Raw genomic sequence first — 16,176 nt, 5'->3', positions numbered from 1 at the left:
CCCCTCTCAACCAGTACAATGGAAGGGCACTTTGGATTGGATTTTAGACTGCTCCTTACTAATGCCTTCTTATTCTTCTTACCTATTCTCCTGCCCTGGAAGCGTTCTTTGTGGGAATTTGGTGAGTTTGGAGTATGCAGTGGCATGTAGTTTCTCGCTGCAGAGAGGCCAGGAGGTGGAGTGATTTCGAGTGAGTAGAGAGTGTTCCCTGTTGGAGATCAACATTTTCTTTGTGATCTCTGACGGCTCAGGCCTCTTTAACTTACATGTGCTCGAGTTTCTTGGGTCTCTTCCCTGGACTCACAGATCAGCTATATGGCTGTGGGATTTTCTCTCCCTTTCTTTCTCTCTTTCTTTCTCCCTTTCACTGGCGATATGCTTCTCTTATTGTCTCCTTCCATTTCTTCCTTTCTTCTGCCTTCTCTTCTCACACTGCCCAGTTCTGCTACTGCCACCTTCCCTGTCTTGTTCTCATATCTGCTTCGCCTCAGAACCAGAAGCTGGCAGGACACAGACTGATGCCCTAGAGCATCCACAGAAGTTCCTTTAAGGGCAGGGAAAATGCCTGTTTTGTTTCTGTTTGTTTATCTTTGTTTATCTTCTAGCACCTAGGGCAATTCCGGGTACAAAATATGTACTTAGTAAGGATTTACTAATGGACTGACTTGCTCTTATGATAAGACATGTGACCACAGATAACTTTGGGGTCACATTCTTTTAGCTCTCAATTGGAGGAGAGAGAACATTTCTCACCAAATGTTGGCTGTAAATATCCTAAGGAAGGATTTGACTGGATCAGCCTTGGAGTTAGGAGGGCAGGGCCTGTGATGGGCAGTTTCACCTGAATTTTATGGTTAGAGCTGAGGAGGAGCCATCTTCCAAGAGAAAAGGGAGAAGTGGCTGGGACTGACCTGCTTTGACTTCTTAAATTATATCCATTGCCATTCCATGAGACCTCGCTTCCTGCCAGGATCGGGGGCACACAGGAGCCATGTGGTCTCTGCCAGCCGGTCGCCTCCATCAGATTCCTTTTGGGGGCTTCTCCTCTAGAGGCTCCACATGAAGTCCCAGTGCTACAGTCCTAGTTATTTTGCCTTCTTCTGCCTGGTTTTCTTTCAGATCACCTCAGCCAGTTCTCAGACACTTAGGGGACATGTTCTCTGCAGGACCACTCTGAGGGACTCTTCTGCATATTGCTGACCTGAGAGGATGGCCTCAGAGCTGACTTGGGCAATCCTCCCCAACAGGAAGGGGAGACATTGCCTGCCACTGAGGAAACAGGTCATGAAGGTGGAGATAAGCTGCAAGGGGCGAAGCAACTTTATGTCAGTGGAAAACGTGTCTCTTTAAAGCTGCTATGTGAACAGCTTTTACAGTCATTAAATTTACCTAAACTAAGGTTAACCCTTTGTCTCTCACTTTGACTTCGTTTTTACCTTGGTTAGTGTTTCTGGAGTTTTCCCTGCAGTCTGTGTTAAGTGTTTCCCCACCCAGTTTCTCCTGTGGACACTGCTCCCTCTCAGGTTTTCTCCCCTGGGCCCTAGGAGGCAGAGACTGAAGGAGAGGAAGGTGGGGAGAACCATTTGCTTGGGAAAACTGCTCTCGACCTTTCTGACATTTGCATTGGATGCCACTGACTTAGCTGCCTATCGCTGCACTTTATTTTGCATGTTTTACCTGAGGATTTCCCTCATGGACCTCTTTTTATCTGGCACCAAAGTTGACTTTTAAATTGTTCTAAAGCCACTCAAGCAAAAAAGTTGATAAAACACTCTGCTTTCCTTTACAACCCCCAACATAAAAAAATTATTTGTTGGAAAAAAATGTTTTCTTACATGAGATGAAACAATATTGTCTGGGCGCGGTGGCTCACACCTATAATCCCAGCACTTTGGGAGCCTGAGGCGGGTGGATCACTTGAGCTCAGGAGATCAAGACCAGCCTGGTCAACATGGTGAAACCCTGACTCTGCTAAAGAAAAATCCAAAAGTTAGCCGGGCATGGTGGCAGGCACCTGTAGTCCTAGCTACTCAGGAGGGTGAGGCAGGAGAATCACTGAACCTGGGAGGTGGAGGCTGCAGTGAGCTGAGGTCATGCCACTGCCCTCCAGCCTGGGGGACAGAGCAAGACTCCGTCTCAAAAAAAAAAAAAAAAAAAAAAAAAACAACTATTAATTCAAAACATAAGCTGGGGATGGTGGCTCATACCAGTAATCCCACCACTTTGGGAGGCTGAGGCACGTGGATTGCTTGAGCCCAGGAGTTGGAGACCAACCTGAGCAATGTGGCAGGTTTCCTGACTTTACAGGAAAAAAAAAAAAATTAGCTGGGTGTGGTGGTGCAGGCCTTGTAGTCCCAGCTACTTGAGAGGCTGAGGCAGGAGGATCACTTGAGCCCAGGAGATAGAGGCTGCAGTGAGCCGCGATTACACCGCCACACCCTAGCCTGGGTGACAGAGCAAGACCCTTTCTCAAAAAAATAAAAAACAAGAAAAACCATCAAAACTTACAGATATGGGTTAGCTCTATCACTCATTTCTTTAAAAGTTTTCATGAGTATTCAGTCAAAACCAACTATCCCCTTGAAATATTATCTGTCTGAATTTCCAAGTGGACCACAGGACTGTAGACAATCTTGGAATGTCCTCAGAAGGCTCTGTGATGGATCAGGCACAGAGTAAAAACCCGAGTCCTTTCAAATGGAAGAGGAAAAGACAAGGATAGAAGAAGCTTTTCAAACTTCATCTTCTTTCCTGTAGCTGTGGTCTCTTCTTCCTCCTCTGCCTCCTTGGAAGCCTCCTTGCCCTCCAAAGCCTCCCTGGCCTTTGCCACCAGTGGACCTCTTTTTCAGCCTGTGAGGTCTGACAGCACTTGGAGTTTTAGAAAATGTCATTACCAGGTGGGGCACAGTGGCTCACGCCTGTAATCCCAGCACTTTGGGAGGCCGAGGCAGGTGGATCACCTGAGGTCAGGAGTTCAAGACCAGTCTTGCCAACATGGCAAAACACTGTCTGTACTAAAAATAACAAAAAAAATTAGCTGGGCATCGTGGTGGGTGCCTGTAATCCCAGCAATTTGGGAGGCTGAGGCAGGAGAATAGCTTGAACCCAAAAGGTGGAGGTTGCAGTGAGTCGAGATCGCGCCATTGCACTCCAACCTGGGCGACGAGCGAAACTCAGTCTCAAAAAAAAAAAAAAAAAAAGATGTCATTACTTTTTAGGCTTTAAAAAAATTATGTCTCTTTTCCCTTGGACCTATTAGTAGGTTTCGAGTAGTGGTTCTCAGCCCCCTTCACCACCAAGGTTATTTCATTCTGTGGGTATCATGAAAAAAATATCCAAGAGATGGTAGCATGGAATTTTTGGAGTCAGAGGACTTTGGTTCACATCCCCACTTTATTGCTTGAGAGTTGTCTGAAATTGAGTAGTTAATTTACTCTTCTCCTCTTCTCTGTCTTGTGTGTTTTTTTTTTTTTTTTTTTTTTTTTTTTGAGGTGGAGCCTCGCTCTGTCACCCAGGCTGGAGTGCAGTGGCACGATCTTGGCTCACTGCAACCTCTGCCTCCTGGGTTCAAGCGATTCTCTCCTGCCTCAGCCTCCCAAGTAGCTGGGATTACAGGCGCCTGCCACCACGCCCAGCTAATTTTTTATTTTATTTTTAGTAGAGAAAGAGTTTCACTGTGTTGGCCAGGCTGGTCTCAAACTCCTTCCTGACTTCAAGTGATCCGCCTGCCTCGGCCTCCCAAAATGCTGGGATTACAGGCATGAGCCATTGTGCCCAGCCTGGCTTGGTTTTTTGATGTGAAACATGAAGATAATCACATGCATATCTCACGTGGAATTCAGTGACACAATCATGCTTCTAGAGAGTTTAGCACAGTCCATGGAACATTATAAGGTCTTATCAAATGGGAGAGATCATCAAAAGATTTTACTTCTCAAACAGATTGTGTATATTAGGATATACTGGGGCTTTTATTGTGTGTCTGGCCATGATGTCCTTTAGACCTTCTTCATTTACCTGCACAACAGGAACCTCTTCCTCAGGTGCTGGTTCAGCGCTCAAGGATTGGTTTCTACTCTTAGGGTCCGTCTTCTATTGAGAACATTTATCTGTGATGGTTCCTTACCCTAGTCCTTTCTTCAGAAGGCACTTAAAGCAGGTTTTGAAATTATTTCAATTTTTATAAAAAGGTAAAACAGGCCGGGTGTGGTGGCTCACGCCTGTAATCCCAGCACTTTGGGAGGTCAAGGCGGGTGGATGACTTGAGGTCTGGAGTTTGAGACCAGCCTCACCAACATGGCGAAACCCCGTCTCTGCTAAAAATGCACAAATTAGCCAGGCGTGGTGGCACATCTCTGTAATCCCAGCTATTCGGGAGGCTGAGGCAGGAGAATGGCTTGAACCCAGGAGGTGGAGGCTGCAGTGAGCTGAGAGTGCACCACTGCACTCCAGTCTGGGTGACAGAGTGAGACCCTGTCTCAAAAACAACAAACAAACAAAAGGTAAAACATACATATGGTAAATAATCCAAACAATACAGTAGGTATCTGTAATCAATCACCTTCCCGCCTACTAATCCCCTAGTTCCCTTTTACAAAATCCAGCACATTAATCATTTTCTAATGTATCTTTTCAGAGATAATCTCTGTGTATAAAATGATTTATATTTGTGATTATTTTATACAAATGATTGTATACCATACACACTATTAACAGCTTTATTGAGGTATGTGTAATTTACATACAATCGATGTGTACATTTTTTCTTTTCTTTTTTTTTTTGAGATGGAGTTTTGCTTTTGTTGCCCAGGCTGGAGTGCAATGGTGCGATCGATCTCGGCTCACCGCAACCTCCGCCTCCTGGGTTCAAGCGATTCTCCTGCGTCAGCCTCCTGAGTAGCTGGGATTATAGGCATGCGCCACCACGCCTGGCTAATTTTGTATTTTTATAGAGATGGGGTTTCACTATGTTGGCCAGGCCAGTTTTGAATTCCTGACCTCAGGTGATCCAACCACCCCGTCCTCCCAAAGTCTTGGAATTACAGGTGTGAGCCACCATGCCTGGCCATTCCTGACCTTTTCTTTCCAGAGTGTGTATGGCACTGAGCACCTGGCACTACAATCTTTTCTCACATACCATCAATAAATATATTGAAAACATAAGAAACTTGGGGGGTGTTGTATTGTGTTCAGAGCTGTCAGGAAACAAAGTACAGAGAAATATTAGATTCAGGTGAAAATACAACTCCATTGTAGAGCTAAGTAGGATGTCAGTTGCTCCTTAAAGTCACTTATAAATTGGAAACTACTGAGCAGAAAGAGTCAATGTAAGATGAACAACAGCATGTGAGTTCAAAACTCCATCCTGATTTCTCTGTAATTTTGCAGATACTTCCCAAGAACCTTGTGATTATTTTGCTTATGTAGTTTTTTTTTTTTTTCCTTAGAGACAGAGTCTTGCTCTGTTGCCCAGAGCTGGAGTGCAGTGGCATGATCTCAGCTCACTGCAAACTCTGCCTCCCGGGTTCAAGTAATTCTCCTGCCTCAGCCTCCTGGGATTATAGGCACCTGCCATCATACCCAGCTAATTTTTGTATTTTTAGTAGAGACAGGGTTTCACCAAGTTGGCCAGGATGGTCTCGAACTCCTGACCTTGTGATCCACCCACCTCGGCCTCCCAAAGTGCTGGGATTACAGGCGTGAGCCACTGCACCCAGCCGGTTATGCGATTTTTATCAGACCTTAGATATCTCTTATATAGACAGGCAGATTATGTAGTTACAGACAGTACCTCAGAAGTTTGATGTCTGTGATCAGTTTGTCTTTCGAAATCTTGCTCACGAATGAGATGATTAATTCCTGAATTAATACAAAATGAACATGAGTTAACAATAACACCTTGGCCTGGCTACTCAGCAAACATGTCACAGTGCGCGATGGCCAACAGGGTCCCAGGTCAGAGGGTTGTCTGCCTGGCCTTATCCTCCTAAGCCAACCTGCTCACTCCATTCTCCCTTTGGGGGCTGAGCCCACCAGCCTGGCTGGACTCCCTCATCCTAGGGACACCCAGACACTCTGAGCCTCAGAGTTTAGGGAGTAACTAAACCCACTAAACACTGCTCCTTGCAATTCTTCCTCTCAACTCTGCTCTGATTCATTTCTCAGCACTCACCGTTTGCCCGGTGACAAAGCTCCCACCGTCCTTGGTGATGTTAACCCAGTAGCTGGCTTAGATTTTATGTCTGGCCGGTGGGAGTAGGTTAGTTTGGTGATTCTTGCATCCAGGTTATTTCTCTGTTGGAAAGAAGTAGTCATTTAGAGTGTGTTGAGTAAGGGCTGCAGGATGTTGCAGTATGAAACACTCTCGCATCATTCAGATCATACATACAAATATTTATCGTCTGGTGTAAGTTGGTCACCTGGGTGCTGGTGCAGCTGGTGTGACCATGACAGACAAGGCCTATTTCTAAACATTCACCTTGATAATGTTTCCTTTCTTTGAAGGATGGTGGGGGCATGCAACATGTAAAATCTTACTTTTCTATTACACCTTGTCCAATCTGAAGCCTGTCTCTCTGTATGCCTTTGTGGGAAGAGAGTTCTGCACTTGATCATTTGATCACTTTGGGACACACTCTTAAAAAAAATTATATTTTGTTTCAAAGAGAGCCTGGCACATAGAGAAAAGTCAATTATGATTGTTACTATTGCTACTATTCCCTCTGCCACTTCTAGGGCCGGTAGCAAATGAACAACTGCCTTATGTTTTTTGCTCATTCTGTGACTGTTGGTGCTTCCTTCCCTCACTCTCGTCATCTGTAAAACGGGGATAAGAAACCCTACATCCTAGTGCTGTTTTGAGGATGAAATGATGTTGGTTATGTAAAGACACCTGGTTTTGCCCCTAGCACACAGATGGCACTTAGAACCCCTCCTCCCCCACTTTTTTTTTTCTGAGACAAAGTCTCACTCTGTCACCCAGGCTGCAATATAGTGATGCAATCACAGCTCACTGCAGCCTCAACCTCCCTGGCTCTGGTGATCCTCCTGCCTCAGCCTCCCAAGTAGCTGGGACTTACAGGCATGCACCACTACGCCTGGCTAATTTTTTGCTGAGATAAGGTGACAACATGTTGTCCACGCTGGTCTTGAACTCCTGGACTCAAGCAATTTGCCTGCCTCGGCCTCCCAAAGTGTGGGGATTACTGGCATGAGCCACCTCACCCGGCTTCAGACCACATTTTTCTCCCCAAGTCCCTGTTCTCTGCTTTCCACCAACATAAACCAGGACCCATTTACATGACAATGAAGGGAAAAGGTGCATCCCATGGCAGTCGTGTATTAACCTGAAAGAACATTCAGAATCCACTTTCACCCCCACCTTCTTGCTGTCAGAGGCTGACCGGCTGAGCTTGAGGAAAGTGCTGAGCCACGCCGGGCCCTGTGGACGACCCTTACCTGCACAGAGCTCTGCTTGGCAGTGTGAGTGATGATGACCTTCAGCATCGCGTAGGACAGAATTAGGGAAACGCTGACATTTTTAGTGTCTGAAGAGAGAGAACTTCCAGGCACAGTGACGGTATTTTTGTTAAAGTGGGCTTTAGCCTAGAGTGAAAAAGCAGAAAAAACATCTCGGTAATCACATGAGACCGACACCCATTTCAATGCCTTTGGAGGTCTGACTGGGGAGGTGGAGGGTGAGGTGGTCCTGAAGGTATTGCTGTGGGAGGAGCCTGAGGACACGTGGCTGTTGACCTCCCCAACTCCACTGTGGTGCGGGACCGTGGGCATGGTGGGGTTTGCAGTGCCCTGAGGGCAGGCACCTGGTGAAGGAGGAGCTGCTGCTGAGCTCCGGCTGCCCGTGGACCCCATGCAGTTAGGCTCAGGGCACCCAGATCTCTGACTTTCCAGGAGAAGCCACATTCATTATTTTTCAGGTGAATGGCCCTTGTTTAAGTGTTTCTACCAGTAAGGTGTGTGTGTGTGTGTGTGTGTGTGTATCTGTGTCACTTTTTTTTTTTTTTGAGACAGAGTCTCACTCTGTTGCCAGGCTGGAGTGCAGCGGTGCAATCTCGGCTCACTGCAACCTCTGCCTCCTCCTATCCAAGTGATCCTTCCACCTCAGCCTCCCTAGCAGCTAGGACTACAGGCACATGCCACCATGCCTGGCTGATTTTTGGATTTTTTGTAGGGACAGGATTTTGTCATGTTGCTCAGGCTGGTTTCCAACTCCTGGATTCAAGCGACCCACTCACCTTGGCCTCCCAAAGTGCTGGGATTCTAGGTGTGAGCCACCTCGCCTGGCCAACAGTCACATTCCTTACCTTCCTGTACATGCGCTGTCAGCCTGGCAGGCCCTCATTCCTTCCCACATTCCAAAGCCCATCTTGTCTGTAATTTCCTTTCATGGATATTCTGACCTTCATTGGTTAATATGCATTTCCCCCTGCTTATGAAATGCAAACTCCACAGAGCAGGAAAGTTAGAAGTTTCAGCAAAGTAAACTTTGCTATTGTTAGTTTAAAAACCAACAATAGCTGGGCATGGTGGTGCACACGTGTAATCCCAGCACTTTGGGAGGCCGAGGCATGCAGATCATTTGAGGTCAGGAGTTTGAGACCAGCCTGATGAACATGGAGAAACCCCATCTTTACTACAACAACAGAGAAATTAGCCAGGTGTGGTGGTGTGCACCTGTAGTCCCAGCTACTCGGGAGGCTGAGGCAGAAAAATCATTTGAATCCAGGAGGCAGAGGTTGCAGTGAGCCAAGATCACGCCACTGCACTCCAGCCTGGGCGACAGAATGAGACTCCATCTCAAAATAAAATAAAATAAAACTAACAATAGCTGGGCGTGGTGGCTCACACCTGTAATCCCAGCACTTTGGGAGGCCCAGGCAGGAGGATTGCTTGAGCCCAGGAGTTTGAGAGCAGCCTGAGCAACATAGCAAGACCTGGTCTCCACAAAAAATTAAAAAAAAAAAAAGAAGTTAGCTGAGCACCTTGGCACACACCTGTGGTCCCAACTACTTGAGAGGCTGAGGTGGGAGGATCACCTGAACCTAGGAGATCCAGGCTGCAGTGAGCTGTGATTGTGCCTCTGCACTCCAGCCCCGGTGACAGAGTGAGACCTTGTCTCAAAAACAAAACAAAAAAAAAACAACTTCACAAGCATTTCTGTATACCATTATAAATGTTGTCAGCATTTCTAATCTTGTACTTGGTTTAATTATTTGCTTTTTGTTTCAGGTTTTTTGTTTTTTAAATTCCCATCATGAATACCCCTATGTCTTTGTGTTTAAATGTATCTGTACTTAGGTTTTTTGGACAGATTCCTGTAAGTGAAACTAACTGAGTCTAAAACCTTGCCTCTTTCAGCACTTTTCATGACCTAGTTTTGCCTTCCCTAGTGGCTTAGTGGGGTGGGTGGGGTGAGTGGGTCCTGTCATTTTCTTTTTTTTTTTTTTTTTGAGATGGAGTCTCGCTCTGTCACCGAGACTGGAGTGCAGTGGCGTGATCTCGGCTCACTGCAACCTCCGCCTCCCAGGTTCACGCCATTCTCCTGCCTCAGCCTCCCGAGTAGCTGGGACTACAGGCGCCCGCCACCACGCCCAGCTATTTTTTTGTATTTTTAGTAGAGACGGGGTTTCACTGTGTTATCCAGGATGGGCTCGATCTCCTGACCTCGTAATCCGCCCGCCTAGGCCTCCCCAAGTGCTGGGATTACAGGCGTGAGCCACCACACCCAGCCCGTCAACATTTTTGTTCACATTATTGGAGGATGAGGCTCCCTGGACCATTCTCTTGCCTTGCCCACCTGTACTTGGGGAGAGGGGCAGCTGTGTGCAGTGCCCGCTTTGCCCCATCCTCACCCATGCTGCTGTCCTCTCTGTTGTCTCTACCTGGTCTTTGCTCACTGGATGTTACAACCCTGGGGCAGGGGGACCCAGTGGACTGCTGTGTGCACAGACTCACCCTTTTCCACCTATGAAGGCCGTAGTCGTGGCTTGGACATGGATCCCATCGCCTGTCGTGGTTGACTTCATGCTCTCCACAGTTACTTTTTCAACCTGTAATCTGCAAAGCGAAAGCATCAAGAGTCAGTCCTGTTTCAACGAATCAGCCTGGACAGCAGGAGAAATGCCTTTGAAGCAGATAATTAACAGCCTACCAAGCCACCATCCAGTCCCTTGACCCCTCAGCTGTCTAATGTGCCCAGGCCTATAAGCTCAAAAATCTTGATCCTGTTTCCCCCTGAAAGGATATAGGCACAGCATAGAGCGAGAATATTTCTGGTGAAATATATCAATCTCAAGCAATATACCCATCCCAATCCGTGGGACTGTTGGAAGTTGAACATGAGCATCCAAATCAGCAGGTTTCTGGTGGAGAAGTCATACATAGGGTCAAGGAAGCACTTACCCCAGCAAGAGCTGTTCCAGGTCAGCATTTTTCAGCAGGTCTGGGAGTGCATCGCTGATGCCTGAGGGCAGGGTGCTGTTCAGCACGCCCTGAGCAGACTCTTTGAGGTCTTGGACTTTGTCGGTCACATCCTTCAGAGGCCGCTGGAGAGTGGAGAGACCAGTGCCACCGAGGAGTCCTTTTACAGGGTTCTTGTCTGAACCAGTGGGTAGTAGGCTCACCAGACCCTCCGTCCCCTGGGGTAGCAGACCACTGACAGCACCAGTGAGTTCTGAGAGCAATGGAAGTTTCGAGGACTTGCCGCCACTTCCCTCACCTAGGATACCACTGAGGCTGGCACCTCCAAGTATATCAAGGGGTGAAGTGAGGTCTAATAGAGACAGCAGGTCCAAGTCGCTCACTGTGGATAATACGGTCCCAAGCAAACCAGCCAAGTTAACCTTCTCACACTTCAGAATCTTCTCAATCTGCAGGGGCAAGGTGGCATTCATATCTGAAAAGGGTCAAGAGACACATTCTTGCTGTGGCCTTCCCAGTTGGTTCAGCAAGAAGAAGCTTTCCTGCCAGGCAGCTGGCACATTTGAATTGAGGGGTCCATAGGAACTGTATATGGTGCCTCCTGGAAAAAACAGTGCTTGCTACTGCCTACTCCAAGGACAGCCTGGTGTCAGAGAAATTTGCCTGTGCCCTTATTAAGAGCTACCATTTATTAGTAACTACTATGAGATCAGCCTGCTGTTGAGTACATCTAAAGGGATTTGGGCATGGAGTGAAGGGGCCTCGTGCCACTGGACTGCAGCCTAGGCAACAGAGCAAGACCCTGTCTCAACACAAACACAAACAAAAACAAAACAAAGCAACCAAAATTAACCACCATTACCTCCAAATCACTGTGTGATGGGTACAAAGCTGTCTTTTTTTTTTTTTTTTAAACCATGTCTGGTCTTTTTTCTATATATTTGAAGTATTTTGTACCAAGGAAGGCTGCTGGAAGAGCAAAGCACATGTTCTTCCCGAGTCAAAGCAGTCCGCATTGTAGTTGTGGGGCTGGCCCTTTGGTCATGCAGCATGTGCCAGGTCTCCCTGTGTGGCCCTGTCCTCTCATCCTGGATGGCTGAGGTGGGCCATGACTGCGAGGCTGGCGTCAGAGCACTGAGAGCCTTCCTGCTGGCCTTCATTTGCTAATAAATCCCTGCTCCTTCTGGCTCCTCAGTGGGAGTCACTTCTTTGCCCAGCCTTAAATTCCTGAGTTGCTCTGCCCTCACCCTCTGCGGGGTTCTTGGAGGAAAGAATTCCTCATTGTCTAATGCAGGAGGTGAGACTCAGGGAGTGAGTGAACAAAAGGAGTTTGGAGAGAACAAGTCTGGTCAAGGGGATGATGGCGGGGCCCAGATTTCCCATTTCCTGGCTCCTGTTAAAGCGGATTGAGGTTTCAGCACCTGTGGGAGTCTGGGTGAGCCCTGGGGCCCAGCAGGGAGGGGATGGGCAGTCTCTCCGCACAGTCTCCAGGTGAGGTGGGAGGTAATCAGTCTGCCGGGTGGGAGAGTTCCCTCCTCCAGGGTTGTGTAGACCACCCCTAACCTACGTGTGGACCCTGGACAAGCAGCCTCAGTGCCATCTTGGAGCAGATGAGGAAGCCAGACTCTCAGGCCCACTGCAGTAGTGCCGGACCAGAATGGCTAGGGGGGCCTGGGCAACTGTTCTATCACAAGCTTCTAAGGTGAGTCCAACACCCCCTCATGTTCGGGACCCACATGTTCAGAAGACAGAACCCCCCGCTGAGCTTAGGAATGAGAAGCCTGCGTGAGGGGCTGAAAGGACCAAGGGTGTGTAGCCCTTACTTACAGTCTTCGAGTTTGCTGTCAGATATGAAGTACTTGGTGACGGGTGGACACCTGCCTCCTTTGGTCCTCGCTGGGTATTTTCCGGTTAGAGGGACTTTTGAGACTGACAGACTTCCAGGGAGCAATCCAGGTGGAAAACGGACAGGCAAAGTGGGTATTAGGGAAGGCCTATCTGCGAGCTCCAGCTGGCCAAGTGCTTCCTCGACCGCCAACATGACAGCCAGGGCCCAGAGAGTCAGCATCGTGGTGGCTGATACCTGCAAAAGAGGGCTTCTTCAGACACCACATTCCCCAGGGACCATCAGGCCACAATGTACGTTTGTGTAGGACGTCCACATACCAGGGTCCTGGCCCTTGCGGGAGGGTGCCATTCCCATCGTAGATATTCTAGTCTGTATGCTGCAGTCATGGGAAAATGTTGCAGTATGTAGCAGTCAGTGTCTTGAAGAAAGGGCTTTTTCCTACTTATTTTCTTTTCTTTTCTTTTTCGAGACGGAGTCTTGCTCCTGTCACCCAGGCTGGAGTGCAATGGCATGATCTTGGCTCACTGCAACCTCCGCCTCCCGGGTTCAAGCGATTCTTCTGCCTCAGCCTCCTGAGTAGCTGGGATTACAGGTGCCTGCCACCACGCCTAGCTAATTTTTGTATTTTTAGTAGAGACAGGGTTTTGCCATGTTGGCCAGGCTGGTCTCGAACTCCTGGCCTCGTGAGCCACCCGCCTTGACCTCCCTACTTCTTTTCAACTGTGCATAGACCTACTCTCCAGGCTGGTCATTGCGTTTAAGTACAGGCCAAGCCCTGCTCACTGGTGTTACCTTCAGGTCACATATTCTCATGCCACCTTCCTCTGTCACATCCCTGGAGCCATCTGAGTCACTAACTGGGGAACTGGAGAGTTCTGAATCCTGCAGCTGCACTCTCAGGTCTATCTCTTGTCACTGGGGTGTGTGCATATGTCTGCTCACACTGAGGATTCTGAGACTCAGGAGGCAGAGAGCTGGTTCCACACCCAGTCAGGACACCCCTGTTTGAGTGTGAGCTGTGCTGGGTGACTTTCAGAGATTGATCCCCACCACTGACCCTCACTTTCCTCCAAAAGTGTGATTCCCAAGTTTTTCCCTCTAATGTTTAGGGTGAGGTGGAGGTTTGTGTCCCCTGGCATTTTACCTTGGTGAGGCAAGGTGAGCTTGTTTTGTAAAATTGGGTTGGGGGCCTTTCCCCCCCCCCCCCCCCCCCACAAGGTCTTGCTCTGTCACCCAGGCTGGAGTGCAGTGGGGCAATCTTGGCTTACTGCAGCCTCTACTTCCCAGGCTCAAGTGACTCTCGTGCCTCAGCCTCCTGAGTAGCTGGGATTACAGGTGCACACCACCACACCCAGCTAATTTTTGTATTTTTAGTAGAGAAGAGGTTTCACTATGTTGGTCAGGCTGGTCTCTGACTCTTGACCTCAGGTGATCCACTTGCCTCGGCCTCCCAAAGTGCTGGGATTACAGGTGTGAACCACTGCGCCAGGCTGGGTTGTGAATCTTTGCCCTTGCCATGTATAGGCATTAACAAAAGCAAGCCATTTGCCATTTGCCAACACCCTAAAAAAGTGTCTATCCCGGCCTGGGTAAAAGGGTGAGACCCCGTCTCTACAAAAAAAAAAAAAAAAAAAAATTAGCTGGGCGTGGTGGTTCACACCTGTAATCTCAGCTACTTGGGAGGCTGAGGTGGGAGGATCGGTTGAGCCCAGGAAGTTGAGGCTGCAGTGAGACAAGTTCACACCACTGCACTCCAGCCTGGGCAACAGATCGAGACTCTATCCCTAAAAAAGAAGAGCAACTATGGCAGGAATGTGAGGAAGGGTACAATCTGAATGAAGCCAGTGAGAATTCTTCAGTTTGAATTAATTAGGCCTTATGAAAAAAATCTCAACACAGCTTCATTAGTTTTTAAAATTTTACTCTCATCTGCGGGAAATTCAACCTCAGTATCTCACATGACATCTAAGCATACTTTCGCAGAAAAAAAAAATCTATGCCTGTGACTGAGTTGATGGCAATATTGTCAGACTTTGACTTGAGTGAAACCTTTTGAGAATCCCAGGACTAAATCCATTCTCTGAAAACCAATGCATAACAGGCAATTGTCAACCACCTTCCCTGTGCTAGGCAGAGTGCATTTCAGCAGGGGAGGGACATTGCTAAAGCGATCAAAAAATGCATAAACCCTCGTTATGGGTCCTTAGATGGACTGTGCGTTGCTTGTTGCTACCTGAGAGCTGGACCTTCTCTTTCACCCGTTCGACGCAGCAAGTTCTTACCTTGCCTGGGGTGGATGGGTCCAAGTTTTCGGAAGCTGCCTTTCCTTCTGCTCCTGCCGCCAGACTGTTGATGACAGAGCTGCATCCCAATTTTATAGCCCAATGTCTGTCTGAAAAGTCAGACAAGAAGGGACACAATCCAAGCATGCTGATAAGGGCAGCGTGATTCAGGCTGCCTTCCAAATCATCCCCTTCTCATTGCTGCAACATTGCCAGTGTCTTCCTGAAAGATGTTCGGAGTGCTTGGAGCTTCTTGTGAAGGGGGCGGGCAGGCCAGGTGTCTGTCTCTCTGAGGTAGGTTAGATAGTAGAGCCTCTCTTTAAAAAAACACTTATCAAATTTATGGCAAGAACAAGCCACTTGGTATTCCATGAACCGCATCGGGGGCTTGTGGTTAAAGACATCCTGTAGCAAAGAGGAGGAAGAACTGAGGGAAAAAAAATCCCCAGGCCTGCACAGGTGCGGAAACCTGGAACTAATGACCTCAAACTGACCTAGGCTCTTTTTGATGCTAAAAAAAAACTTTAGTTTAGCTATACCCATGGGTAGAGATTTAAGATTTTAATGAGACATGCGATGTATGTAATAGCGCGTACAGCCACTGAATATGCAGGCCTCATAAAGCACCCCCAACGTGTTTCGTAGCAGCCCCTCTTTCTTGCCCCTTGATGAATAATCATGCAAATCTCCCATAAAGGAAGATCCCTCCCATCACACGGAGCTGTCTCACTTTTGATGAGCTGTCAGAGGGTTGTTTTGCTTTGTAATAAACTCTTTTTTTTTTTTTGAGACGGAAATTTATTCTGTCACCAGGCTGGAGTGCAATGGTGTGATCTTGGCTCACTGCAACCTCCGCCTCCCAGGTTCAAGCGATTCTTCTGCCTCAGCCTCCTTAGCAGCTGGAATTACAGGTGTGCACCACCACACCGGCTAATCTTTGTATTTTTAGTAGAAACAGGGTTTTGCCATGTTGGCCAGGCTGGTCTCGAACTCCTGACCTCAGGTGACCTACCCACCTTGGCCTCCCAAAGTGCTGAGATTACAGGCGTAAGCCACCGGGCCCAGCCTGCTTTGTAATAAACCCTTTTGTTTACTTTTACTTTGGACTAGCTCTCAGATTCTTTTGTGGGGCAAAGTCAAGAACATGAACCAGCCCATTGACATCTCCTGATTTTAATTCTCCATTTTAAGCCGTTAGGAGCCATTGGGGCACTAGAGAGTGACAGAGCAGAGGGACCTGAGAGGCTGGCAGGTAGCAGCCCTAGGGGAGCCCTCTCTGGTGCCCGTGCTGTGCTCTGGGCATGGACGGCACTCAGCACTGAGTCCATGAGCTGCTGAGCCACTGACTCTGGGCACTGGAGTCAGAAAGTTTTTTTTGTTTTTTTGAGATGGAGTTTCACTCTTGCTTCTCAGGCTGGAGTTCAGCGGCGAAATCTTGGTTCACTGCAACCTCTGCCTCTGGGGTTCAAGTGATTCTTGTGTCTCAGCTTCCCAAGTAGCTGGGATTATAGGTTTGCGCCACCACGCCCGGCTAATTTTTGTATTTTTAGTAGAGATGGGGTTTCGCCATGTTGGCCAGGCTGGTCTCAATCTCCTGACCTCAGG

At 48.0% G+C, this 16,176-nt stretch overlaps 1 protein-coding gene and 1 pseudogene across 13 annotated transcripts in view, besides 2 other annotated features; one reads left to right on the top strand and one right to left on the bottom strand.

Moving 5' to 3' along the window:
* Positions 1–1,404, top strand: part of CDK5RAP1 (CDK5RAP1 mitochondrial tRNA methylthiotransferase) — a 42,731-nt gene extending 41,327 nt beyond the window's left edge. For all 13 annotated transcript variants that reach the window (XM_011528856.4, XM_024451893.2, XM_011528857.3 and 10 more), the window contains one exon: positions 1,120–1,404. In XM_011528856.4, coding sequence (XP_011527158.1) covers positions 1,120–1,200 — 81 coding nt within the window. In that variant the 3' untranslated portion in view covers positions 1,201–1,404. The remainder of the gene's footprint in view (positions 1–1,119) is intronic.
* BPIFB9P (BPI fold containing family B member 9, pseudogene) lies at positions 5,199–13,123 on the bottom strand (annotated as a pseudogene).
* Positions 10,185–11,017: an enhancer, noted in NCBI's record as "H3K27ac hESC enhancer chr20:31937032-31937864 (GRCh37/hg19 assembly coordinates)". NCBI's record gives its function as "activates a minimal SCP1, AML or CMV promoter by ChIP-STARR-seq in naive H9 embryonic stem cells {active_cell/tissue: H9 hESC(naive)}" and the evidence as "EXISTENCE:reporter gene assay evidence [ECO:0000049][PMID:30033119]".
* Positions 12,685–13,519: an enhancer, noted in NCBI's record as "H3K27ac hESC enhancer chr20:31934530-31935364 (GRCh37/hg19 assembly coordinates)". NCBI's record gives its function as "activates a minimal SCP1, AML or CMV promoter by ChIP-STARR-seq in naive H9 embryonic stem cells {active_cell/tissue: H9 hESC(naive)}" and the evidence as "EXISTENCE:reporter gene assay evidence [ECO:0000049][PMID:30033119]".

Source organism: Homo sapiens, chromosome 20 (assembly GCF_000001405.40).
Source record: "Homo sapiens chromosome 20, GRCh38.p14 Primary Assembly".
Classification (NCBI taxonomy): domain Eukaryota; kingdom Metazoa; phylum Chordata; class Mammalia; order Primates; family Hominidae; genus Homo; species Homo sapiens.
Note: the sequence above shows the minus strand (reverse complement) of the source record. Positions and strands in the feature narration are given on the sequence as shown.